This window comes from Homo sapiens, chromosome 3, assembly GCF_000001405.40.
Source record: "Homo sapiens chromosome 3, GRCh38.p14 Primary Assembly".
Lineage (NCBI taxonomy): Eukaryota > Metazoa > Chordata > Mammalia > Primates > Hominidae > Homo > Homo sapiens.
The window spans coordinates 50,347,293-50,369,250 of record NC_000003.12 but is presented as its reverse complement, the minus strand read 5'-3'; the positions used below and the strand labels follow the sequence as shown (position 1 = coordinate 50,369,250).

Below are 21,958 nucleotides of genomic sequence, written 5' to 3'. Positions count from 1 at the left end.
GTGCACGTGCATACTGTGTATACAGGAGAGACTGCAAGTGACTTGGTGTATCTCAAGCACAGTCGTGTGGGTGTCACCCTGGGTGTGTCCAATGTGGCCTCTAGGCACAGAGGTGCAGGCTGTACACTGCACAAAGGCCCTGGGGGCCAAGGAGAGAGTGGGGCCTGAGACCCAGTTCCATGTGCCCTTACCAAGCCATGAGCCCTACCACAGCTTGGGGAAGTGGCACACGTTCAAAAGCCCCACAGTTAGTGCCATATGGGACAATGAAGCGGTCCCTGGTGGCAGAGGTATGAATGAGGGGTCGAGCGAGAGAGAGCTCCACCTATCAGGGTAGAGGGATTGCTCCCAAGACTTCCTAGGCAGCAAGCCCCAAGCAGACCCCCTCACGCCCCACAGCCCCATGTTCTCTGGACCCAGAGCCTGAATGCAGTGAGGGTCTTGAGGGGAGGAGCATTCCAGGCAGAGGGAACAGCCAGTCGGAGGACCCACATGTTCCCACTGACTTTCTGACACCCTCTGTGCTATGATGAAAAAAGCGAGGGTCAGAGAGCGTGAGTGAGTTACCTAACGGCACACAGCCAGGAAGAGGCAGGGTGAGGTCTTAGGCTGACAAAAAGCCAGTGCTTGTACTTGGGTCCCATCTGGTGCCCATGGGAATGCTCTAGGGCATACACGTGGATGAGCAGGCCGCCAGGCATTTCCTGGGGCCTTTCAGGTGCACTATCTGGGTCCAGCTACACCGGAGAGACGGGAGGCTCTGCGGAGCCATGCCCAGGAGAAAGCAGCTGCCCGAATGGAGAAAGTAGACCCTCATTCTTGTGTCAGCTCTGCCCCGACTCAGACCCGAGCAGCCTGCCAGGCATGTAGCAGCTGCAGCCAGGAAGAACCCATGTGCCCCTCCCTGAGGCCCAGGCTTCTCAGTGAATGGCCAAGTGGGCCTGTTGGGAAGCCTTGACCCCATTGCCCTGTCCAGCCCCCCAAGCCCACTCTTCTTGCCCCTCCCCATCCCTAGAGAGTACTGCAAGGACCTGAATGCCTCAGACAACAACACCGAGTTCCTGAAAAACTTTATTGAGCTCATGGAGAAAGTGACTCCAGACTCCAAGCAGTGTGAGTGCCTGGCAGGGCAGCTGGCTCTGGGCAGTGCCCAGGCAGCATGGGGCCAGCCCAGAGGAACCCAGAGGCCGGGCAGGTGTGGAAATAAGCAGGCACAAGCTAAGGGCTGGGCCTGGGCCAGGGCCAGGTCATGGAGGAGGCTCCTGGTGGAGCCTTAAGGGTGGGGGTGAGGGTGGGCAAGGAGCTGCAAGAAGATGCCCCCACCCCCACCCCTCCCCTCCTGTTCCAGGCAACAACTTCCTTCTGCACAACCTGATCTTGGACACGGGCATCACGCAGCAGCTGGTAGAGCGTGTGTGGAGGGACCAGGATCTCAACACGTAGGCATCACCCAGCCTGTGGGGGCAGAAGGCTAGGATGGGCCCAGAGGCCCTGGACCTGCCCAGCAGAAGGCAGGCCTGTGACCCCACCCCCCTGCTACCCCCAGGTACAGCCTACTGGCCGTGTTCGCTGCCACAGACGGTGGCATCACCCGAGTCTTCCCCAACAAGTAAGTGACCTATCCCACTACCCAAACCCTGCCCCTGCCAGGGAACCTGCATCTGTTCTGCCCAGAGGCCTCCTTGCATCTGTGGAGACCACTGTCCCCGACAAGCCACCCCTTACCTACCAGTCTGCCTCTTGGGTGCTCCAGGGCAGCTGAGGACTGGACAGAGAACCCTGAGCCCTTCAATGCCAGCTTCTACCGCCGCAGCCTGGATAACCACGGTTATGTCTTCAAGCCCCCACACCAGGATGGTGAGTGTCCCCGCAGTGTGCCCAGCAGCAGGCAGGGAGCCTCAGCTTCCCTGTCTGCTCAGCCAGAACTGGGCTCTGCTGTCTGAGGCCCCTCTCCAACACAAGGCTGGCTGAGGCCAGGGCAGACGTGAAAAGAGGGATAGACTGTGCCAAACACTGTCCTGAGTGCTGGGTGCTTGGGCTGGAGTCATCCCGGGATTGGACTGCTGGGTTTGTAGGACCCAGCATAGAGTGGTCAGTGTGGCCGCCAGACCCCACTCCTGACTTCCCCACCCAACCCCCAGCCCTGTTAAGGCCGCTGGAGCTGGAGAATGACACTGTGGGCATCCTCGTCAGCACAGCTGTGGAGCTCAGCCTAGGCAGGCGCACACTGAGGCCAGCAGGTGAATGTTTGGGACAGAGGTGGGGAAACAGGCAATGGACAGGGTACTGCCTGGGCAGGTAGCACTGATGGTCCCTTGCTCTCCCCCAAAGTGGTGGGCGTCAAGCTGGACCTAGAGGCTTGGGCTGAGAAGTTCAAGGTGCTAGCCAGCAACCGTACCCACCAAGACCAGCCTCAGAAGGTATTTGGGCAGGGGCGGGGGCAGTAACCCAGCAGTGCCCTTCCTGGAGTCCCCTGGAACCCCCACCAACCCTCCACTCAGTGGCTCCAACACCTACATGGAGGCAGGGCCAGCTGCAGATGGCCTGGGGAACCGGATGTATGAAAGGTGATGGGAGGGAGGAAAACTGGTGGGTGGCTTACGGTCCTCACTCTCTGCCCAGCAGTGCGGCCCCAACAGCCACTGTGAGATGGACTGCGAGGTTAACAATGAGGTGTGTGTGCCCTGAACCTACCCTGGACCCTAGCTTACCCCACTTCCAGACTTCCTAGTCCCAGCCGCGACTCCCAGCACATCCCTTGGCCTGTGGGTCTCAACATCCCCACCCTGACTTCACAGCCTTCCCAGGACTGGGGGAGTGATGCCCCCCAACTCTGAACCACTGGACTGCCTGCGGTGGAAGGTCCGGGGCCCAGCCCCTCTCCATTTTCCTCCCCATTCCCTTCCTCCTAGGACTTACTCTGTGTCCTCATTGATGATGGAGGATTCCTGGTGCTGTCAAACCAGAACCATCAGTGGGACCAGGTGAGGATCAGGAAGAGAGTGAAAGAAGAGAGTAGGGATTTGAGCCTTCTAGGGGTGTAGCACTGCCAGCCCTGTGACCATGGCTTTCTCCTGACATCCTCAGGTGGGCAGGTTCTTCAGTGAGGTGGATGCCAACCTGATGCTGGCACTCTACAATAACTCCTTCTACACCCGCAAGGAGTCCTATGACTATCAGGCAGCCTGTGCCCCTCAGCCCCCTGGCAACCTGGGTGCTGCACCCCGGGGTGTCTTTGTGGTGAGTCCCCAGAGATGCCTGGACTGGAGATGGGGGGGACTGGGAGACCTGCCCACAGATGACCCCCTACCTCTGACATTTGATAAAGCTGGGGGTGACCTAGGGCGAGGGGCAGCAGTGGCAGTCCACGCCCCTCTCTCCACTGCAGCCCACCGTTGCAGATTTCCTTAACCTGGCCTGGTGGACCTCTGCTGCCGCCTGGTGAGTCCTGAGCGGGAGGTGGGTAGAGAAGGTGCTCCCTGGCCGGGAGGGCTCAGAAGAGAAGTAGGGCATGGCATCGTCCTCTGCTGACCACCTGCACTCGGCTCCCCGTGCGCTGCAGGTCCCTGTTCCAGCAGCTTCTCTACGGCCTCATCTACCACAGCTGGTTCCAAGCAGGTAGGTAGGGCTTTGGAGGCGCCTCCTCAAGTCCGGGTCCCCAATCTGAGCTAAGACGACTCCATGGGGAGGGTGGGGTCTACGACTGAGGGAGGCCGGAGACCTTGCCAGGGTCTGTGGGCGGAGCTGAGGCGCTCTGGGCCCTCGCAGACCCCGCGGAGGCCGAGGGGAGCCCCGAGACGCGCGAGAGCAGCTGCGTCATGAAACAGACCCAGTACTACTTCGGCTCGGTAAACGCCTCCTACAACGCCATCATCGACTGCGGAAACTGCTCCAGGTGCTGGCAGTGGGGCGGGACCAGAGGCCAAGGGCGGAACCTGTGAGCGGGGCGAGACGCTCGGGAGGATGGAAGGGGCGGGGCCTCCGAGCGGCCGGGGGCGGGGCCGCAGGATGGGGGTGGGTCAGGGCGGGGCAAACTCAACGCCCCGCCTTTCCGGGCTGCCCGCAGGCTGTTCCACGCGCAGAGACTGACCAACACCAATCTTCTCTTTGTGGTGGCCGAGAAGCCGCTGTGCAGCCAGTGCGAGGCTGGCCGGCTGCTGCAGAAGGAGACGCACTGTATCCTGCCCCCGCCCTCCCCGCCGCCCGCTCCCCCTCTGCCCCGCGCGCCCCCTCCGTGCCGCCGCCGCCGTCCGCCTCCTTGACTCCCCACCCATGCCCAGCGGACGGCCCGGAGCAGTGTGAGCTAGTGCAGAGACCGCGATACCGGAGAGGCCCGCACATCTGCTTCGACTACAACGCGACAGTGAGGAGAGGGGGCGGTGGACCCGAAATCCCGCGGCCTTGCGCCCGCCCAGGCCGACCAGCTCCTTGTCTCTCCCCGCAGGAAGATACCTCAGACTGTGGCCGCGGGGCCTCCTTCCCGCCGTCGCTGGGCGTCCTGGTCTCCCTGCAACTGCTGCTCCTCCTGGGCCTGCCGCCCCGGCCGCAGCCTCAAGTCCTCGTCCACGCCTCTCGCCGCCTCTGAGCACCCTGCCCCACCCCACCTCCACTCCCACCTCACCCGGCCTCTTCGCCTTTCCCACCCTCCTGCCCCACACTCCCCGCCTTAGAGCCTCGTCCCTCCCTCACTGAAGGACCTGAGCTGGCCAGGCCCTGAGAGTCTGGTCTGCGCCTTGGGATGGGGAGTCCCAAAGCGGGACGCCGCAGGTGTTTGGCACCCAAATCACATCTCACCTCCGAACTGTTCAAGTGTCCCCAGACCCTTCTTGCCTGCTGGGCTCCCCCCAGTGGGATGGGACAGGGAGGCCACACGCACTGGTGCCAAAACCAGGCCTCTGCTGCCGCCCTTCCTGGAGGCTGCCTATGTTGGGGGGGACCCTGCCTCAGCTGACCCGGCCTCTCTGCCCCACCCAAGCCCAAACTTGGTTTCTGTGAGAATAGTGGAGGAAGGTGAGATGGCCAGTTTGAAGCCTGTGCCTCCCAGCTTAAATCCTAGCAGGAGAGAGGCTCTGGGGCAGCCCCCATGGGCTCCTGCCCCTTTCAGGCCTACAGCCACATCCCCAAGCCCACCAGGTGTCAGGATAGTCACAGTGATACCAGTTCAGACACTACCCCATATACACCTGGAACATTGAGGATGGAAACTGGACTCACATTCGACATACCCCACTGGGCACACGCACAAACACACACACTATGGGGTGGGGTGGGTGTAGGGGCTTACAAAGCCTTACACAGGGCGAGGGGTTGGTGGGAGGGTTGGCACCTGCACACTCCATCTCCTGCTCACCACCTGCCTCTAATCTGAGCTGCAGCCTGGCTGGTCCTCCCATTTCTAAAGCTGAATGTCAAACAGTGCCAAATGCTGGGGCAGGGGGTGAAGAACCCTCTGTCCCACCCCTAGCCACCAGTGTCCTCCAAGTGCCCCCTCACCTCTCCAGGTGCTCATTGTAACCATTTCTCACTAGTGTCAGGCCCCCAGTGGGACCACATGCCACTGCCTGCACCTTTCGGCAGAGGAACCCCCACCAGACATCACCCTTTGCCTTAGCAGGGGTGACTTTGTCTCTCCTGGCTGGGCCATCCTTCCGCCAATCTGGCCCTTACACACTCAGGCCTGTGCCCACTCCCTATCTCCTTCCCACCCCTACACACACACTCCCTGCTTGCAGGAGGCCAAACTGTCCCTCCCTTGCTGAACACACACACACACACACACACACAGGTGGGGACTGGGCACAGCTCTTCACACCATTCATTCTGGTCATTTCCCCCAAAGGCATCCCAGCCTGGGGGCCAGTGGGGAACTGAGGGCAAGGGGATATAGTGATGGGGCTCAGATGGACTGGGAGGAGGGGGAGGGTGATGCATTAATTAATGGCTTCGTTAATTAATGTCATGTTGCTTGTCGCTTTCTCAGTGTGTGTGTGTGGTCCATGCCCACTGCTGGTGCCAGGGTGGGTGTCCATGTGCACCCGGCCTGGATGCCAGCTGTGTCCTTCGGGGGCGTGCGTGTAACTGTAGTGTAGTCAGGTGCTCAATGGAGAATATAAACATATACAGAAAAATATATATTTTAAGTTTAAAAAACAGAAAAACAGACAAAACAATCCCCATCAGGTAGCTGTCTAACCCCCAGCTGGGTCTAATCCTTCTCATTACCCACCCGACCTGGCTGCCCCTCACCTTGGGCTGGGGGACTGGGGGGCCATTTCCTTTTCTCTGCCCTTTTTTTGTTGTTCTATTTTGTACAGACAAGTTGGAAAAACAACAGCGACAAAAAAGTCAAGAAACTTTGTAAAATATCGTGTGTGTGATTCCTTGTAAAATATTTTCAAATGGTTTATTACAGAAGATCAGTTATTAAATAATGTTCATATTTTCACTTCAAATGGTTCCCATCCACTGTATCAGCTTGGGGGTGAGGACTGGGTAGCTATGAAGACAGTTGGCCAAGACCTCAGAGTCCCACTTAGTGCTCTGCAGGGGGTGAAGACCATGGTAGCCCAGGTCCCTGTCAACCACAGGGCATGGCACTTGCTTCCACCAGTTATAATAGGTGCCAGGCCCTTGACATACATTGTCTCATAACATCTCAAAAAGCTGTCTTTTAAAAACAAGCAAGACAGGCTGGGTGCGGTGGCTCATGCCTGTAATCTAGCATTTTGGGAGGCCGAGGCGGGCAGATCACTTGAGGTCAGGAGTTTGAGACCAGCCTGGCCAACATGGTGAAACCCCGTCTCTACTAAAAATACAAAAAAATTAGCCAGGCATGGTGGCATGCGCCTGTAATCCCAGCTACTTAGGAGGCTGAGGCAGGATAATTGCTTGACCCCAGGAGACGGAGGTTGCAGTGAGCCAAGATTGCGCCACCGCACCCCAGCCTGGATGACCGAGCGAGACTCTTGTCTCAGAAAAAAAAAAAATACAAGCAAAACAAACACCCTCCCAGAGCCTGAAAGCCAGGACCCTGGAGGGAAGAAGACAGATCAGAGATGCTGGTTTAGTGGGGAGGTGGATCTGGCAGTCTGGTCAGACCACCAGGGCCTGACAGGGCCTCTGCCGGGAGCTATGAGTGAGCACCTGGCCAGTGTCCCTACGGCCCAGGAAGCCCTGACCACAAGTGCAGCAACGGCTCCCTCCTGGCCCACAGGAGCTTGAGGCCGCAGCTGCTTAAACTGGAGCCATAGGCCAAACTTCATTTTTGTGAATCCTCTCAAGCTTAGGCCCTAGTTCATTTTCACCCTAGAAGGTGTGACCTTTGCGATCTTCTCATGTGGAGAGAATTATAACCTGTAACCACCAGAGCACAGGTGTCCCTGCCTTCCCACCACAGTCCTCTCTCTCCTCCCAACACTCTGCTCTCTGCGCACTGACCTGGCTGAGTCCTCGCCACAGTCTCTGGGGTGGGTACTAGTGTATCCCCATACCACAGATGAGCAAACTAAGAGGAGAAAGCCTTTCCCCCCAGGTGAGAAGGCTAAAAACCAGCAAAGATTTTAGAGAAGAGGTGGCCACCAAGGGTTGGGGAGCTTGGATGCTAAATAGATGAAGGGGCTTCGAGGCCTCAGCCAAGATGGAGACTTTTTCTGTCTCCTCTGCAGGGTTCGGCTGCAGAGCAATGCCTAATCCACAACCCCCAAGACAGCTCCCATGGCCTGCAAGAGACCGTGCAATCTTGGATAGGGTTGTAAGATAAAATACAGAACACCCTATTTTGAATTTCAGATCATGAACGAGTTTTTAGTATGGAAGTGTTTCAACTATTGTGTGGGACATACCTATACTGAAAAACTGGGGGCTGGGCACAGTGGCTAACGCCTGTAATCCCAACACTTTGGGAGGCTGATGCAGGAGGATCGCTTGAGCTCACGAGTTCGAGATCAGCCTGGGTAGGATGGCCACCCCGCCCCTGCCCATGTCTCTACAAAATAAAAAAATTTTAAAAATTAGCTGGGCACAGTAGTGTGTGCCTGTAGTCGCAGCTAATCAGGAGGCTGAGGCTGGAGGATCCCTTCAGCCCAGGAGTTAGAGGTGGCAGTGAGCTATGATTGTGCCACTGCACTCCAGCCTTGGACAAAGCTAGACCCTGTCTCAAAAAAAAAAAAAAAAAAAAAAGGGGGCAGGGGGACATGATTATACTCGAAGATTACTCATTGTTTATCTGGAATTCAAATTTGACTGAGCATCCTTATTTTGATTTGCTAAAACTGGCAACCTTACCCAGATGTGGCAACCAGTGGGAACCCAGACCCCAGAAAAAAAGCATCAGCACCCTTTTTAACCTGTAGGCCATGCACACATCAGCACACACTGAAATCAGTGGCTGAAAGGAAGGGATCCTGTGTTTTATAAAAGCACTTTGTCATAGAATTATTTTAATTATATGGACAGCTTTTTGTTTTGTTTTGAGACAAAGTTTCGCTCTTGTTGCCCAGGCTGTAGTGCAATGGCATGATCTTGGCTCACCGCAACCTCCGCCTCCCGGGTTCAAGCGATTCTCCTGCCTCAGCATCCCGAGTAGATGGGATTACAGGCATGTGCCACCACACCTGGCTAATTTTGTATTTTTAGTAGAGATGAGGTTTATCCATGTTGGTCAGGCTGGTCTCAAACTCCCGACCTCAGGTGATCTGCCCGCCTCAGCCTCCCAAAGTGCTGGGATTACAGGCGTGAGCCACCGTGCCCAGCCTATATGTACAGTTTTTTAAAAGTAACTCCATATACAAAAAAAAAAAAAAGACACAGAACACAACCTGTCAGAAGTCACTGTGGCGTGAAGTGGGACCAGAACAGGCCTAGCCCAGGCTTGTGGAGAGACCTGGCTTGTAGAGAGACCTCTCATCCTCCGCAGTTATCAGAAGTCCCTGGTGGGGAGGAGGGTCACTGAGGGCTGCCCAGCCTCGTCCCTATGCGGGAGGGAGCCCTAGGTTCGTGCTCCAGGTCCACCTCACTTGGAAAAAGGGCAACGTGAAATAACAAACAAAAAACTTTTCCAAGTGGGAGAAAACAAACAAAAAAAGGCAACATGTGCAGCACTCGCTGAGCACCCAGGGTGGACTGGCATTTTACACCCCTTTCCCCTTTGATTATTAGGACAGGAAGATCATGTCATCAGCTACATTTTATGGCCCATGAAACTGAGTTTCAAAAAGGTTCAGGAACTTAACCAACCAATGCCACACAGCCTCCGAGGCAGAGCAAGGGTTCCAGCCTGGGTCAGGTCCCATTCACCAGACCACGGAGGTTCTGTTTCTCACACAGTGACACCTACCCACACGCCAGCCAACAAGGACACACTCGCTCAGAGGTACACGCACAAATAGAGCTACTCTTCCTAGGGAATTCAGCAAGTGTGGGGGCTAGAGCTGTGTTGCTTCCCGAACCCTCACCGCCGCTTTCAGGGGTTAGAGATGCTAATTCATCCCTTCCCACCTCCTGAGAACCGACGGAAACGGTCCCTGAGAACTACAACTCCCAGCACACCCCGCGCTCACCACAACGGGACCGGTCCGTGCTCATGGCCTCCTGGGACTTGTAGTTCTAGCCAGAACCCTGTTCAACTCTTCCCCGGCTGCAACCAAGGACTCCGTATCCCAGCATGCAGAGGAGCCGGAAGACAGGCGCTTAGAGGACAGCCCGCTGCCGCCGGGGACGCGCAGGCGCAGCACCCCTGTTTGTCGGCCCCCCGAGAGAAGAGGTACGGTCGAAGCCAGGAGCCAGGCCGAGCGGGAGCTGACCAGGCTTGACTCGGGTACAGAACGAGGCACCAGTCCCCTTGCGAACCGAAGGGCCTCGCAGTGGATGGAGGAGGCCCAGCCCTGAGGTCAACGCCAACCAGGCTAGCCTGGCACGGGGCCTACAGGGTGGGTAGGCGGGCGTGCCGCAGCCGTCCAGGGCCTTCCCTCAGGTCCCGGGCGAGGGGCCTACGCTGCGGCCCGGCAACAAGGCCCGACTCGGCCCCTCGGGACCAGAGCCCCACCCGATCGGAAGCGGATCCTTTACCAGGGCCATAGGCCAGTGACTAGGCCGGGCCTGGGCCTCCCATCGGGGCCGGACTAGGACGAGGCCCCGGGGAGGCCCCTGGCCTACCAGACCCTTTTCTCAGGCCGACAGCCGCCAGGAAGATGCAACGTGCCCTGCCAGGCGCCCGCCAGCACTTGGGGGCCATTCTGGCCAGCGCCAGCGTGGTGGTGAAGGCTCTGTGTGCGGCGGTACTATTCCTCTACCTGCTCTCCTTCGCCGTGGACACAGGCTGCCTGGCGGTCACCCCGGGCTACCTCTTTCCTCCCAACTTCTGGATCTGGACCCTGGCCACCCATGGGCTGATGGAGCAGCATGTGTGGGACGTGGCCATCAGCCTGACAACGGTGGTGGTGGCCGGGCGTTTGCTGGAGCCCCTCTGGGGGGCCTTGGAGCTGCTCATCTTCTTCTCAGTGGTGAATGTGTCTGTAGGGCTGCTGGGGGCCTTCGCCTACCTCCTCACCTACATGGCTTCCTTCAACCTGGTCTACCTGTTCACTGTCCGTATCCACGGCGCCTTGGGCTTCCTAGGTGGCGTCCTGGTGGCACTCAAGCAAACCATGGGGGACTGTGTGGTCCTGCGAGTGCCCCAGGTGCGCGTCAGTGTGATGCCCATGCTGCTGCTGGCGCTGCTGCTCCTGCTGCGGCTCGCCACGCTGCTCCAGAGCCCGGCGCTGGCTTCCTATGGCTTCGGGCTGCTCTCCAGTTGGGTATATCTTCGCTTCTACCAGCGCCATAGCCGGGGCCGAGGGGACATGGCTGACCACTTTGCTTTCGCCACTTTCTTCCCTGAGATCCTGCAGCCTGTGGTGGGTTTGCTGGCGAACTTGGTGCACAGCCTCCTGGTGAAGGTAAAGATATGCCAGAAGACGGTGAAGCGCTACGATGTGGGTGCCCCATCCTCCATCACCATCAGCCTGCCAGGCACAGACCCTCAAGACGCCGAGCGGAGAAGGTACTGTGAAATTTTCCAAAATCTTGTCAAGCTAGGAGCATACTGGTCGAGTCACATGCCATCTGTTGAGGTGTTCGCTGTACATAGGTGGAGACCTACAGTCAGGTATTGGGGCACATCCGGAAAGACAAAATCAGTCTTTGGCCTTAAGGAACTCAGCAGTTAGGTGTCTGGGGTCCACGAGGCACTTTTCTCACCACTCGGGCCACTTAATAAGTCTCAAGAAATGCAGTTTCCTTTGGTGCTGTGAAGTCCCAGTGGAGGGACACAGAACCCTGGCCTTGCCTCAGAATCTCAGAATCCTAGACATTGGGCCTGTGGGAGCCAGAAGCAACCTGCTGGTACTTTCCCCTGTGAGGAAGGGACAGGGAAGGAGGCCTGGGGTCCTCAAAAGGTGATCTGGGCCACTCCAATTTCCAAATGCTGTGTCCTCTTCCTGGGCTTTAACTCAGATGCTGTGCTTCTCTGCCACTTACTTATTGAGAGGGAAGCTTGGGGTATTACCACATTTACCTCTGTCTCCAGCAAGCATGTGTCACCAAAACCAGGGACAGGCTACATGACCCACTGAGGGAGCCTGCTGACACCAGGGAGTGGCGATGACCCTTTCATTATCTGTAAACCAAGCTATCCACAGCATCAGGAGTCCCAGCTGAATTATTCACTGAATGCACTTTGGCCAGGGCAGGAGGGATCTTTTTAAATTCAGCTTACTCTCTCTCCCAGATCTGTGGAGCCAGCAGAGTGGTCCCAGCCTTCATAAGATCCACAGCTCCATTTCCAACATTATTCCTCACTGTTTTGAGGCAATTACTCGAGTAGTAAAATCTGGGACGGGCTTTGTCTTTTGCATTGCCAAGGCTCCTGCTTTTGCTCACCTGTGAATGGGGTTGTGGCAGGAAGCTCTATGAATTTAGCTGCAGTTATCCCTGTATTTACTCTCCACTGGGCTATGGAATTGAGTGTGGGACACACTCCTTTCTTGAAGGAGTTCCAGCTGGGGAAGGGCCACAGATCACTATGGCCCAAGGTATGGTAGGTGTTGAAAAGTATATACAGCATGCTGCAGGGCATAATTCTGGGCCCTAGAGCTTGGGTCTTTATAGGTGATAAGCCCTAAGGACAGAAGTCTCTCTTAACCTTAGCTGGTATTAAAGATGGGGCCAGGTGAGCTGGGCCTGGTAGGAATTGAGCTGTCCCTCAGAGCCATTCAGGTGGGGCCAGGCCAGTGGGGACCCCTCCTCCACTGAGAGGTGTTGGAATGTTAGGGTTGGCTGGACATTCAAAAACCTCTGCCTAGGCCCAAGAAAATGGACAGGGGGGAAGCAGGTTGGTGGGGAGGAAGGGAGGGTCAAGAGGCGGGTTCTTGGCATAGCCTTATGGTTGTTAGCTTACATGGGGGTGGCGGTTATTCCTCCAGCCAGTTTGACATCTGACTGCATGGCCACGCCCAACTCCAAAGGGCTACCAGGAGAGGGAGGCAGGGTTTCCTATCTGTCTCTCTGGTCCTTGTGAGGAAGTGACTAGCGTAACACTAGCTCTCTGCCTTGGCAGGCTTTAGATGGAACTGGCAAGGGCATCATCAGGATGGCAGCCTGGGTAGCAGCAGGGAAAGACTGTCCTGTCTATACCAACTTGTCATGTGTGAGACTGACGGGCAGGGGGGAAGCGTGCTAGGGCTTTCTACACCTGTGCCCTTGTTGCCTCTCTTGTCGTGTTCCCTGACATGGTGGAGATTTTGGTTCTCAGCTGGAACCTGAAAGGCTACACAGGCTGTCCCCACATTGGTGGCACAGAGAGGCTGAGGTATAGGAGTCCACAGTGGTCACTGTTGAAACGGTTCCCTGGCAGCTGCAGCACTCCACCTTCTGGTGGGTCAGGGTCCCAAGCACATGTGTAAACCTTCTTCTGTTGGACTTTCCCACCTGCCCTCAAAGTGGGGCCTCTAAGGGTCCACCCTGTGGAAGCAGTAGGCTCTGGCCTGTGCCTACCCATGTGAGCTGTTTCTCCTTCTTCTCCTCTTGCAAGGGCTCCGCTAAGTCCCTGCTCTAACAAGGGCCTTGGTGGCTTTGGGGGTTCTTCTGAGAGGGAGAATATTAGCATCAGTTAGGAGGGGTAGACTCACCCAAGTTGGCCCTGCTTCCTGGGCTGAGAGCCAAGGGAGGTGTTGAATTCCAGCCTTCCCCATTGACCCTTGCCAGGAGGCTCAAGATACCCCTAACCAGGAGAGGGGGAGAATTAATAACCCTTCCCTTGGATGTGATGCCAGCACCCAGGCAGAAACTCCTGGAAACTCCAGAACTTGCCGTTCCACCCATCTGCCCTAGGGCACTAGTTCCACTGACCCTTAGATACCACCCTCAGAACCATTCCTGGTGGCTGGCCTCGTGGGCAGTCTGGCAGACACCCAGCTGACCTTCCCATCCCGGAGGTGCCTCAGCTATGGAGGGAAGATTCTTAGAGCCTTTGGGTTATCATTCTGATGGCAGAGTGGGTCCTAAACCAATCTCTGGGGAGTCCCAGGCTCTGCATGGTGAAGGGGAAACATAGGATTCTGGGGGAGGAGTCTAGGTGGTACGGTGAGGAGTCAGCCTGCTGCGGAAGGGTAGAGGGCATGAGCCAAGGCCAAACCCAGAGTGACCTTTCCTCTCTCCTCTGGCCCCAGGCAACTGGCCCTGAAGGCACTCAATGAGCGGCTGAAGAGAGTGGAAGACCAGTCCATCTGGCCCAGCATGGATGATGATGAAGAGGAGTCTGGGGCCAAGGTGGACAGCCCCCTGCCCTCAGACAAAGCTCCCACACCCCCAGGGAAGGGGGCTGCCCCAGAATCCAGTCTAATCACCTTCGAGGCAGCTCCCCCGACGCTGTAACTCCAGACCACCTTGAGTGTGGCACCTCCCCTCCCAAGCCCCCCTTGACATCCTCTCAGCTACTCCAGGGCACCTGACTGCTCTGAGGAGAGGGAAGAAGGCCTGCTGGGGCTTTCCATGGCCTTCTGCTGTTTCTCGCCAACACTACCCAGGACTCTTGCTACCTGGTTCCAACTCCAGACAACCACTATGCCAGGCCCGGAGCCTCTGAGGCATCGGCCAGTCCAGGCCCTCATCTGAGGTAAGAATGTACATCAGCTGGCAGCCCCAAGCAAGTGGCTGCAGGGACACTGATGCCACAGCTCCTGGGCCGGCCCTCACATCTGAAACTGGTTGCCGAGAGCCCTGAGCCAAGGCAAGGATTTGCCAAAAATGTTCTGGGGGCCCAGCAAATGCAGGAGCCGACCTGGGGCTGCACATCCCTGCCCATCCCCAGAAAGACTGTTCCTGTCAGGATTTGTTTCCCTCTGCTGTGGCGGTGACTGCTTCTGGACCAGAACAGCTCCAGCTCCCAGGTATTTTCTACAGGACCACTTGAGTGGGCAGCCAAGCCCAGGCTCGCAGTATCAATAAAGCAGTTCTCTGAGGAATGACTCCTGGGCTCTTGTCAGGCCACCTTGTGCAGCCCCCTCATCACGTTCAACTGCAATGTTAGACAGGGACTTGATTGTCTCCATGGTAACTCCAGCTGGATAAGAAGCCCATTGCCCCAGCTCCCCACCACCGCCACCACCACCACCACATGCGCACTGCCAAGCAGCCTTCCAAGAGCTATTGCCTCAGACTCTTACTCCTTTTTTCTTTCCCTCCAAACCCCAATCTGGGAGGCCTTCTGTCCCTGCCTAGATCTGATGATAAGGGCCTCTCCATCATAAGGCGCTGTTCTTACCCATGGTTTATCTCTAAGACAGAATGCTCAGTTCTTGCCACCCCTGGAGACAACTCACCCCCAGCTCCCAGTTATTGTATGTATCTAACCCCCACAGTCTGGAGACTCCAGCACAGTAGACAGTTGGGGGGACAGAAAGGACACACAGCTGTACCATTCACAGCTACAGCTCTAGGGCCTGCCAGGGCCCGGAGTGGCCTGGGAGGCTCAGCAGCTAGACCCTGGGGATTTGTGTGCTAGGAGAGCTTCAGCCCCTCAGGGAGCAGCCAGGGGTCGGGGGTGGGGGGTCCCCATCTTGCCCAGCTGCCCATTTTCCTGTGCTGATGGCATTAACAAGAACCATCCCCAACTCTGGGCTGCTTCTCCCATCAATCTTTTCAGTCATTTTTTACAAATTTTTTACTTTTTTCTCTCCTAAAATTTCTGAACATACAGTACAAGTATGAGCTGCCTTGCAGGAGAGGCAGTCTTGCAGCCCCAGCTTCATCCAGACACATGATGCCTATGTTCCTCTGGGATGACAGAGAAAGGGGAAGGAAATGGGAGGCACTCCAGCATGAGGAGCAGGAATTCACACACGGGCCTCCAAATGCCCAACTGTCCCAGTGCCTGAGGTGTCCCCTGACTCAGCTGAGAGAGTTCAACAGGTCCCTAGGCCCAGCTCCTACATGGAGGGGCAAATCCAGGCTTCCCCTAGGCTGGGAAGAGCTCATGGTTGGATCCTCTTGCGGTATAGGTAGGCATTGCTCACCTGGTTCATAATGACCAAGCTGGTGAGGACAGGGCATAATACAGCCAGGTACCAGGCTGCACCAGTGACAGAGGCAGTGAACCAGAGTGAGCACATGCCCAGCAAGAGGCTGGCACTACCCAGCAGGTAGCCCACCAGCCCAGAAGTAGCATGGTATAGCTTGAGCTTCGCCAGGGGCCATCGGGGCAGCAGCTTGGGGTAGAGCAGCCCCACCCCACCTGAGCACTGCAGCCCTGCCCACAGCACAGCCAGCAGCCCTGCCTGCCCATGCCGCGTAACCAGGTGGGCTTTGCCAAGCTGCTCTTTGTGGAGGATGACAAGGCCGAGGCCCAGCAGTGCACACAGCAGGGCCAGCAGCTGCAGCACCCAGTGGCAGCGTGCTCGGCCTTTCCGTGAGAGGGAGTGCAGCAGCGAACTCTCAGGAGAAAACACCAGTAGTGCCTCGGTCATCAGGAAGGAGAACTGAGGAAACAGGGGATGGGAAGCTCAAGTGAGGGTGCTGCCCCAGAAGAGGAGAAGAGGGCTTTATGTAACCCTTAGCTGCCAGTGAGTCTGGGCTGATTCCCCTTTTTCTTTCTCTCCCCACTGACAAGACTATCCATTTGGTGGGGCAAGAGTGGAAAACCCCATCTGGGATGATATATGTGCCCTGAATAATCTCCACACTTCCTCCTAGGTGCCAGTCTGAAATGTCATCTGTCGTATGTTACCAAGCAAACACAGGGTTTGAGATGTGGCAGTTATAAATGATTCACAAGCTTTGTTTCCCTAACGTGGGGCTGGATACAATTTCTTGGCAAGAGCTGGCCACATGGGTGCACTGTTTCAGGGAAAGTTAGGTGCATCACCAGAAATTAAAGTAAAAAGGGACAGAGGTACATCCAAATGCAATGTCTCAGCTTTCTGCCTAGAGGTGGGTGAAGCCTCATTGTGCTTAGACAAATCTTACCCATTTGACCTGGGTCCTGGGTCTTCATTACTCTGATTCAAGTCTCTTTTTTTTTTTTTTTTTTTTTTTGGAGATAGTCTCTCTCTGTCACCCAGGCTGGAGTGCAGTGGCCTGATCTCGGCTCACTGCAATCTCCGCCTTCCGGGTTCAAGCAATTCTCCTGCCTCAGGCTCCTGAGTAACTGGGATTACAGGCACCTGCCACCACACCCAGCTAATTTTTGGTTTTTTGGGGGGTTTTTTTGTTTTTGGGTTTTTTTTTTTTTTTGGGACAGAGCCTCGCTCTGTCGCCTAGGTTAGAGGTTAGAGTGCAGTGGCGCAATCTTGGCTCACTGCAACCTCCGTCTCCTGGGTTCATGCGATTCTCCTGCCTCAGCCTCCCGAGTAGCTGGGACTACAGGCGCGTGCCACCATGCCCGGCTAATTTTTTGTATTTTTAGTAGAGACGGGGTTTCACCATGTTGGCCAAGATGGTCTCGATCTCCTGACCTCAGGTGATGTGCCCGCCTCGGCCTCTAAGTGCTGGGATTACAGGCATGAGCCACCGTGCCCAGCCTCAAGTCTGAAATATATACCATGGGCAGGAGTAGTTGGAGCATGCAACTCTTCCAAACAGATATTAAATGTGGACAAAGATTCAGAGGCTGCCAGGGCCACCAACCATGCCCATGCTCCCACCCCTAAGAACTGCCCAGGCCCACTACTTACAGCCAAAGACATAAGCACCGGGTGCCAGGAGAACAGGCCTGGAATGAGAAGAGGAGGCCTCATGGGGCTGAGGCAAGAAGAAACCAGCCATACCAATCCTTAAGGGTTGAGGAATACCAGCAGCCCATCACCCAAGGAGGTGCTGCCAAACTGTGAGCCCCTTCTTGCTCTGCAACAAGCTGACCCCACACCTATCCTCTCTTCCTGGCCTCTTCCTGGATCAGAGGCCATGCTTTGCCACTCCTCTGGCAGTCCTCCCTCCTTCCCTTACACCTCCTGAGAGGCAGCCAAATGGAGCACCCAGAGAAGGAAAGACAAACCAGGAATTCTGTGTGCCCTGGCCATACCTACCTGCTCCACCTCACTCATCGCTCCAGCACAGAATTCCCTCAACCAGCCAGGCCTGTTCCCGGAAGTCCCACTGCCCTTCCTCCCCAGGAACAGTGGCCCTTCCCTTCCCAGAAGTCAGCTATGAATTCTACTTACTGGAGCCAGGCCTGGCAAGCACAGCCACAAAGATGGTAAAGCCCAGGGCCACAAGGTGGGCGGCAGCGCCAGAAGCAGTACGCAGAGCTCGGTAGATGTGTGACTCGGTCTCCGCAGAAAGGGCCATCGTCAGCCGTGCTAGTGGTTGTAGCCTGAAAGCATAGTAGCGTGGGCCAGGATCTCAGGTGCCCACTGTTCACTCCTCACTGGAGAAAAGGCTGCAAGGCAGGAATGCCACCCTCTTCCAATAAGTTATGGTAGGAAAGAACAGTACCAAGACCAGCACCAGGAATGGTCACAACATGCCAGTCGACGGCCGGCGGCCTGTCAACGTGTACCCATGTCTGAACTGGTACCAATCGCTGGCCCGCCTTCCAGGTAGGAGGCGCAAAGCCATGTAAGACTACAAATCCCAGCGTGTACCACGCCGTCGCCGGCAGTAGAGCCAGCTGGGAGGGCGCGGAGCACTATGGAAATTGTAGTTCCCTGCTGCGGTCCCAGTTACAGCGTGAATCCCTTAGCGCACCGCCTCCCCAAGTGCTGCCAGCATGCTGCCCCTCCACGCTAGGGACTTGCCTGCCTCTGCCGCAGCGCAGATCTGATGCGGTGGTTTCCTCCAAAGAAAGCGGGATACTCCGGGCCCTGCCGCGCGCACCGCCGCTCCGTCACGGAGCCGCTTTACTTCCGGGTGCGACGTCTACCCACCCAGGACTTCCTGGGACGAGCCGTCCCCCGCCCCAGCCACGCCTCTGAGTCGCGCTGCGCAGGCGCCATTGGGCAGAGGGATTGGCAAGCTTGCGTGCCCCAGCGACACAGGCCTCGAGGCTGTCTCTGACAAGTGTTCACAGGAGGTGGGGACGCCTCTGCGCGAGGAACGAGGAGCTACGGGCCTGGGCCCGGTTATTGCCATGGGCAGCGGCTGCCGCATCGAATGCATATTCTTCAGCGAGTTCCACCCCACGCTGGGACCCAAGATCACCTATCAGGTGCCACCCGGGCTCGCGGGACTGGGCGGGAAGAGGGACGTTCTCGAGAGCTCAACTGGCTGCCTGAAGGCAGTAGTTTCCCGTGCTGCACGCAGGCATGCTGCTTCATTCGCAGACAACTGTGAGGCTAGAGGATAGTCAGACCCAGGCCCCCGGCTCCCAATGTGGCAGGGAAGACATACGTCACATTGGCAGTGTTTGTAGGATATCGGGCTGTAGGGATCCGGTTGGGGGGTTCCAGGTCCCACAGAAGGTGAGTTGGGTGACCCATGAGTATCCCTGAACTGAGTGAAGAGTAAATGATGCATAGGAAGTTTAGGTAAGGCAGGAGAAAGTGTTCCAGGTAGAGGGAACAGCATATGCAGAAGCCAGGAAGGAGGTGAGATCATAGCGTATGTTTGGAAACAGAAAGAAGTAATAGGCCTGAGTGGATGGGAGAGAGGGGAACGCTGGAGAAGAGGACTTGGGCTTGGGGGGCATGAGGAGGTCACCATTTGTACTACACCCAGTACAGATGTCCACTGAGGGGCCCATTGCCACTCCCCTCCCCAGGTCCCTGAAGACTTCATCTCCCGAGAGCTGTTTGACACAGTCCAAGTGTACATCATCACCAAGCCAGAGCTGCAGAACAAGCTTATCACTGTGTGAGACCCTAGCTCGGGGTGAGCGGTGGGTGGCAGGGGTTGTCCCAGGAGGAGGAAGGGACAGGCTTGGGGGCCTGACTGTGTTCCAATTATCCAGCACAGCTATGGAAAAGAAGCTGATCGGCTGTCCTGTGTGCATCGAACACAAGAAGTACAGCCGCAATGCTCTCCTCTTCAACCTGGGCTTCGTGTGTGATGCCCAGGCCAAGACCTGCGCCCTCGAGCCCATTGTTAAAAAGCTGGCTGGCTATCTGACCACACTAGAGGTCTGCAATGAGATGGGCTTGGGTTTACCGACAGGCAGAGTTGGGGAAGGTGTTCCCATGTCTCCAAAGTCCCCCAAACCTGGGACCCTGCAAACCAGCTCAGGACTCAGGGCAGCCAACCAGCCAGGGGTCCTGGGATGTGCCCACCATGCTTTCCATGCTCTGTCTAGCTAGAGAGCAGCTTCGTGTCCATGGAGGAGAGCAAGCAGAAGTTGGTGCCCATCATGACCATCTTGCTGGAGGAGCTAAATGCCTCAGGCCGGTGCACTCTGCCCATTGGTATGGCCAGCCTCTGCAAGGACAGCAGAGGGGTAGAGGAGAGATGGGAAAGTGAACCCAGCTAGTCAGGGAGAAGGGCAAGACTCATGAACACATTGGTGGGCAGGAAATAGCCATGGGCTGAGGTGCCCATGTCCAGGGTCCAATGCATGATGGAGCTGGGACTGGGGGTAGGGGGAAAGCAGAGCTCTCCAGCTCTGCCCCTTGGGCAATTCCTTCCCCTTTGTGGGCCTCCGTTTCTCACTCCATAAAAAGAGAAAGATTAGCCCTACCCAGAGGCACCTGCTTGCCCCAAGGGATGCTGGGAGGCCTGGATGGTAATTGAGGACCTCTTGGAAGAAGTGGCACTGAGGATATGGATGGGGCCCCCTGCAGATGAGTCCAACACCATCCACTTGAAGGTGATTGAGCAGCGGCCAGACCCTCCGGTGGCCCAGGAGTATGATGTACCTGTCTTTACCAAAGACAAGGAGGATTTCTTCAACTCACAGTGGGACCTCACTACACAACAAGTATGCCATCCCTCCCTGGGTATCATCACCTGGGGCTGGCCACAGCCCTGGCCTCATCCTGTTTCTTCTGACCTTGTCCCACTCTGCCCAGATCCTGCCCTACATTGATGGGTTCCGCCACATCCAGAAGATTTCAGCAGAGGCAGATGTGGAGCTCAACCTGGTGCGCATTGCTATCCAGAACCTGCTGTGAGTGGGCCTACAGTCATACCTGGGACAAGGTCACCAGCCAGGGAAGACCTCAGGGGCCCTGGGTGTGAGGGTTGGGAAGGCATGGTCCTCAGAAGCTGAGCACAGCTCTCTCTCTCAGGTACTACGGCGTTGTGACACTGGTGTCCATCCTCCAGGTAGGTGAGTTGGGTTTGGTTAAGTGGAGAGTGGATCATGTGGCTGGACCAGACCAGGGCTGTGTCAGCTTCCCAAGCCCCTCACTCAGGCCCCTATGCCTTCTGCTACCCTCTAGTACTCCAATGTATACTGCCCAACGCCCAAGGTCCAGGACCTGGTAGATGACAAGTCCCTGCAAGAGGCATGTCTATCCTACGTGACCAAGCAAGGTAGTGGTGGGTTCTGGGGGAAGCCATCTTGGGGAGGGCAGGGCCACATGATGAGCTGATCCCTGGCACCCACAGGGCACAAGAGGGCCAGTCTCCGGGATGTGTTCCAGCTATACTGCAGCCTGAGCCCTGGCACTACCGTGCGAGACCTCATTGGCCGCCACCCCCAGCAGCTGCAGCATGTTGATGAACGGTCAGAGGAGAATTTGCTGGGGCATTTGGGAGTTACCTGAGGGAAGCTAGACCCTTTATGTCTCTCAGGAGCCCTGGATCATGGGGCACTGCCAATCCAAGCAGGCTTCCTGGAGATGATGGGCTACAGAGACAAAATTGAAGGGAGACTACAGGAAAGGGTTGGCCTGCCTGAAAGAAGGCCTGGCCAGGGCGTCACCCCGTCCTCTGATCCTCACCCTAGGAAGCTGATCCAGTTCGGGCTTATGAAGAACCTCATCAGGCGACTACAGAAGTATCCTGTGCGGGTGACTCGGGAAGAGCAGAGCCACCCTGCCCGGCTTTATACAGGCTGCCACAGCTATGACGAGATCTGCTGCAAGACAGGTGGAGGCAGGCGGGCAGTCAGGGTGGGTTCAGGGCAGGGTGGCCAGGCCAAGGCCACTGACCTCTCCTCCACCACCCCACCCAGGCATGAGCTACCATGAGCTGGATGAGCGGCTTGAAAATGACCCCAACATCATCATCTGCTGGAAGTGAGGCTGGTAGTGACTGGATGGACACATTGCTGTGGGTAGTCCCTCCTACTAGGAGGCTTGTCATACTGTCTAGAGGTTGACTCTTAGTTCTGTAAATAAAGACATCCATTTCAAACAGCCTTTATTGAGTGCTGTTTCTGGGCCAGCCGTGGGAGACCCAGCAGTGAATGAAATAGCCACGAGCCGTGGGCTAGATCGCCATCTGGTGGGCAGGACCGACAATCGACAAATAAAAGTGCCGGTTAATTACAAAAAAAAAAAAAAAAAAAAAAAAAAATCGTCCTGATGCGGTGACTCACCTGTAGCCCCAGCTA

General features: G+C 56.6%; 4 protein-coding genes and 2 long non-coding RNA genes across 36 annotated transcripts in view, besides 8 other annotated features; 3 read left to right on the top strand and 3 right to left on the bottom strand.

The window, feature by feature from the left end:
• CACNA2D2 (calcium voltage-gated channel auxiliary subunit alpha2delta 2) overlaps positions 1–6,638 on the top strand; it is a 141,632-nt gene extending 134,994 nt beyond the window's left edge. For 2 of the 6 annotated variants that reach the window (NM_001291101.1, NM_001005505.3), the window contains exons 24-38: positions 1,016–1,113; positions 1,349–1,439; positions 1,547–1,609; positions 1,754–1,857; positions 2,142–2,240; positions 2,332–2,420; positions 2,626–2,673; positions 2,913–2,984; positions 3,088–3,240; positions 3,389–3,441; positions 3,563–3,618; positions 3,769–3,895; positions 4,067–4,176; positions 4,275–4,363; positions 4,445–6,638. In NM_001291101.1, the coding sequence (NP_001278030.1) occupies positions 1,016–1,113; positions 1,349–1,439; positions 1,547–1,609; positions 1,754–1,857; positions 2,142–2,240; positions 2,332–2,420; positions 2,626–2,673; positions 2,913–2,984; positions 3,088–3,240; positions 3,389–3,441; positions 3,563–3,618; positions 3,769–3,895; positions 4,067–4,176; positions 4,275–4,363; positions 4,445–4,585 (1,393 nt within the window). In that variant the 3' untranslated portion in view covers positions 4,586–6,638. Of the gene's footprint in view, positions 1–1,015; positions 1,114–1,348; positions 1,440–1,546; positions 1,610–1,753; positions 1,858–2,141; positions 2,241–2,331; positions 2,421–2,622; positions 2,674–2,912; positions 2,985–3,087; positions 3,241–3,388; positions 3,442–3,562; positions 3,619–3,768; positions 3,896–4,066; positions 4,177–4,274; positions 4,364–4,444 lie in introns of all 6 variants that reach the window. The other 4 variants (NM_006030.4, NM_001174051.3, NM_001410768.1 and 1 more) reach the window with 2 other exon arrangements.
• On the bottom strand, positions 1,054–3,888 carry LOC101928965 (uncharacterized). Of its 7 annotated transcripts, none has more exons than NR_183062.1 (4): positions 3,311–3,888; positions 2,920–2,954; positions 1,730–1,814; positions 1,054–1,455 (listed from the first exon to the last, which is right to left on the bottom strand). It is a non-coding gene; the product is annotated as an uncharacterized LOC101928965 (long non-coding RNA). The 7 variants fall into 7 exon arrangements; NR_183065.1 differs by having other exon boundaries at positions 3,536–3,888; NR_183061.1 differs by lacking the exon at positions 1,730–1,814.
• Positions 1,054–18,389, bottom strand: LOC127898564 (CYB561D2-LOC101928965). 3 transcript variants are annotated; one of them, NR_183066.1, is made up of 5 exons: positions 18,267–18,389; positions 17,691–17,842; positions 10,575–11,133; positions 2,920–2,954; positions 1,054–1,455 (listed from the first exon to the last, which is right to left on the bottom strand). It is a non-coding gene; the product is annotated as a CYB561D2-LOC101928965 (long non-coding RNA). The 3 variants fall into 3 exon arrangements; NR_111912.2 differs by lacking the exon at positions 10,575–11,133; NR_183067.1 differs by lacking the exons at positions 10,575–11,133; positions 18,267–18,389 and adding an exon at positions 17,205–17,242 and having other exon boundaries at positions 17,691–18,041.
• Positions 3,518–4,101: an enhancer, noted in NCBI's record as "H3K27ac-H3K4me1 hESC enhancer chr3:50402581-50403164 (GRCh37/hg19 assembly coordinates)". NCBI's record gives its function as "activates a minimal SCP1, AML or CMV promoter by ChIP-STARR-seq in naive H9 embryonic stem cells {active_cell/tissue: H9 hESC(naive)}" and the evidence as "EXISTENCE:reporter gene assay evidence [ECO:0000049][PMID:30033119]".
• Positions 3,518–4,683: a biological region, named in NCBI's record as "H3K27ac-H3K4me1 hESC enhancers GRCh37_chr3:50401999-50402580 and GRCh37_chr3:50402581-50403164".
• Positions 4,005–4,254: a silencer, noted in NCBI's record as "silent region_14397". NCBI's record gives its function as "represses an Ori minimal core promoter by ATAC-STARR-seq in GM12878 lymphoblastoid cells {active_cell/tissue: GM12878}" and the evidence as "EXISTENCE:reporter gene assay evidence [ECO:0000049][PMID:35858748]".
• Positions 4,102–4,683: an enhancer, noted in NCBI's record as "H3K27ac-H3K4me1 hESC enhancer chr3:50401999-50402580 (GRCh37/hg19 assembly coordinates)". NCBI's record gives its function as "activates a minimal SCP1, AML or CMV promoter by ChIP-STARR-seq in naive H9 embryonic stem cells {active_cell/tissue: H9 hESC(naive)}" and the evidence as "EXISTENCE:reporter gene assay evidence [ECO:0000049][PMID:30033119]".
• Positions 9,511–9,810: an enhancer, noted in NCBI's record as "active region_19906". NCBI's record gives its function as "activates an Ori minimal core promoter by ATAC-STARR-seq in GM12878 lymphoblastoid cells {active_cell/tissue: GM12878}" and the evidence as "EXISTENCE:reporter gene assay evidence [ECO:0000049][PMID:35858748]".
• Positions 9,511–10,427: a biological region, named in NCBI's record as "H3K27ac-H3K4me1 hESC enhancer GRCh37_chr3:50396255-50397145".
• Positions 9,537–10,427: an enhancer, noted in NCBI's record as "H3K27ac-H3K4me1 hESC enhancer chr3:50396255-50397145 (GRCh37/hg19 assembly coordinates)". NCBI's record gives its function as "activates a minimal SCP1, AML or CMV promoter by ChIP-STARR-seq in primed H9 embryonic stem cells {active_cell/tissue: H9 hESC(primed)}" and the evidence as "EXISTENCE:reporter gene assay evidence [ECO:0000049][PMID:30033119]".
• On the top strand, positions 9,730–14,501 carry TMEM115 (transmembrane protein 115). Its single transcript, NM_007024.5, has 2 exons — positions 9,730–11,038; positions 13,704–14,501. Exons 1-2 carry the CDS (start codon positions 10,188–10,190, stop codon positions 13,906–13,908), a joined length of 1,056 nt encoding a protein of 351 aa, NP_008955.1. The 5' UTR covers positions 9,730–10,187; the 3' UTR covers positions 13,909–14,501.
• CYB561D2 (cytochrome b561 family member D2) lies at positions 15,182–18,389 on the bottom strand. Of its 12 annotated transcripts, none has more exons than NM_001414711.1 (4): positions 18,254–18,389; positions 17,691–17,842; positions 17,205–17,242; positions 15,182–16,010 (listed from the first exon to the last, which is right to left on the bottom strand). In NM_001414711.1, exons 2-4 carry the CDS (start codon positions 17,815–17,817, stop codon positions 15,507–15,509), a joined length of 669 nt encoding a protein of 222 aa, NP_001401640.1. In that variant the 5' UTR covers positions 17,818–17,842; positions 18,254–18,389; the 3' UTR covers positions 15,182–15,506. The 12 variants fall into 12 exon arrangements, with proteins under 12 accessions (NP_001401640.1, NP_001401637.1, NP_001401635.1 ...); NM_001414708.1 differs by having other exon boundaries at positions 17,691–17,828; NM_001414706.1 differs by having other exon boundaries at positions 17,691–17,908; positions 18,263–18,389.
• Positions 18,215–18,434: an enhancer, noted in NCBI's record as "active region_19905". NCBI's record gives its function as "activates an Ori minimal core promoter by ATAC-STARR-seq in GM12878 lymphoblastoid cells {active_cell/tissue: GM12878}" and the evidence as "EXISTENCE:reporter gene assay evidence [ECO:0000049][PMID:35858748]".
• On the top strand, positions 18,476–21,921 carry NPRL2 (NPR2 like, GATOR1 complex subunit). Of its 7 annotated transcripts, none has more exons than NM_006545.5 (11): positions 18,476–18,676; positions 19,229–19,320; positions 19,418–19,586; positions 19,757–19,865; positions 20,241–20,377; positions 20,469–20,566; positions 20,688–20,724; positions 20,841–20,934; positions 21,010–21,127; positions 21,350–21,492; positions 21,578–21,921. In NM_006545.5, the coding sequence occupies exons 1-11, from the start codon at positions 18,599–18,601 to the stop codon at positions 21,643–21,645; spliced, it is 1,143 nt and encodes a 380-aa protein (NP_006536.3). In that variant the 5' UTR covers positions 18,476–18,598; the 3' UTR covers positions 21,646–21,921. The 7 variants fall into 7 exon arrangements, with proteins under 7 accessions (NP_006536.3, XP_047303266.1, XP_011531590.1 ...); XM_047447310.1 differs by having other exon boundaries at positions 18,476–18,929; XM_011533288.4 differs by having other exon boundaries at positions 18,476–19,320; positions 19,423–19,586.

Coding starts and splice junctions, on each gene's coding strand:
- TMEM115 (NM_007024.5), top strand. CDS start 10,188: ATGCAACGTGCCCTGCCAGGCGCCCGCCAGCACTTGGGGGCCATTCTG. Junction 11,039..13,703: donor CAAGACGCCGAGCGGAGAAG/GTACTGTGAAAT, acceptor CTCTGGCCCCAG/GCAACTGGCCCTGAAGGCAC.
- CYB561D2 (NM_001414707.1), bottom strand. CDS start 17,817: ATGGCCCTTTCTGCGGAGACCGAGTCACACATCTACCGAGCTCTGCGT. Junction 17,243..17,690: donor GCTTGCCAGGCCTGGCTCCA/GTAAGTAGAATT, acceptor TTCTCATTCCAG/GCCTGTTCTCCTGGCACCCG. Junction 16,011..17,204: donor CGGTGCTTATGTCTTTGGCT/GTAAGTAGTGGG, acceptor CTGTTTCCTCAG/TTCTCCTTCCTGATGACCGA.
- NPRL2 (XM_047447310.1), top strand. CDS start 18,774: ATGCTGCTTCATTCGCAGACAACTGTGAGGCTAGAGGATAGTCAGACC. Junction 20,378..20,468: donor GGGACCTCACTACACAACAA/GTATGCCATCCC, acceptor CACTCTGCCCAG/ATCCTGCCCTACATTGATGG. Junction 20,725..20,840: donor CACTGGTGTCCATCCTCCAG/GTAGGTGAGTTG, acceptor GCTACCCTCTAG/TACTCCAATGTATACTGCCC.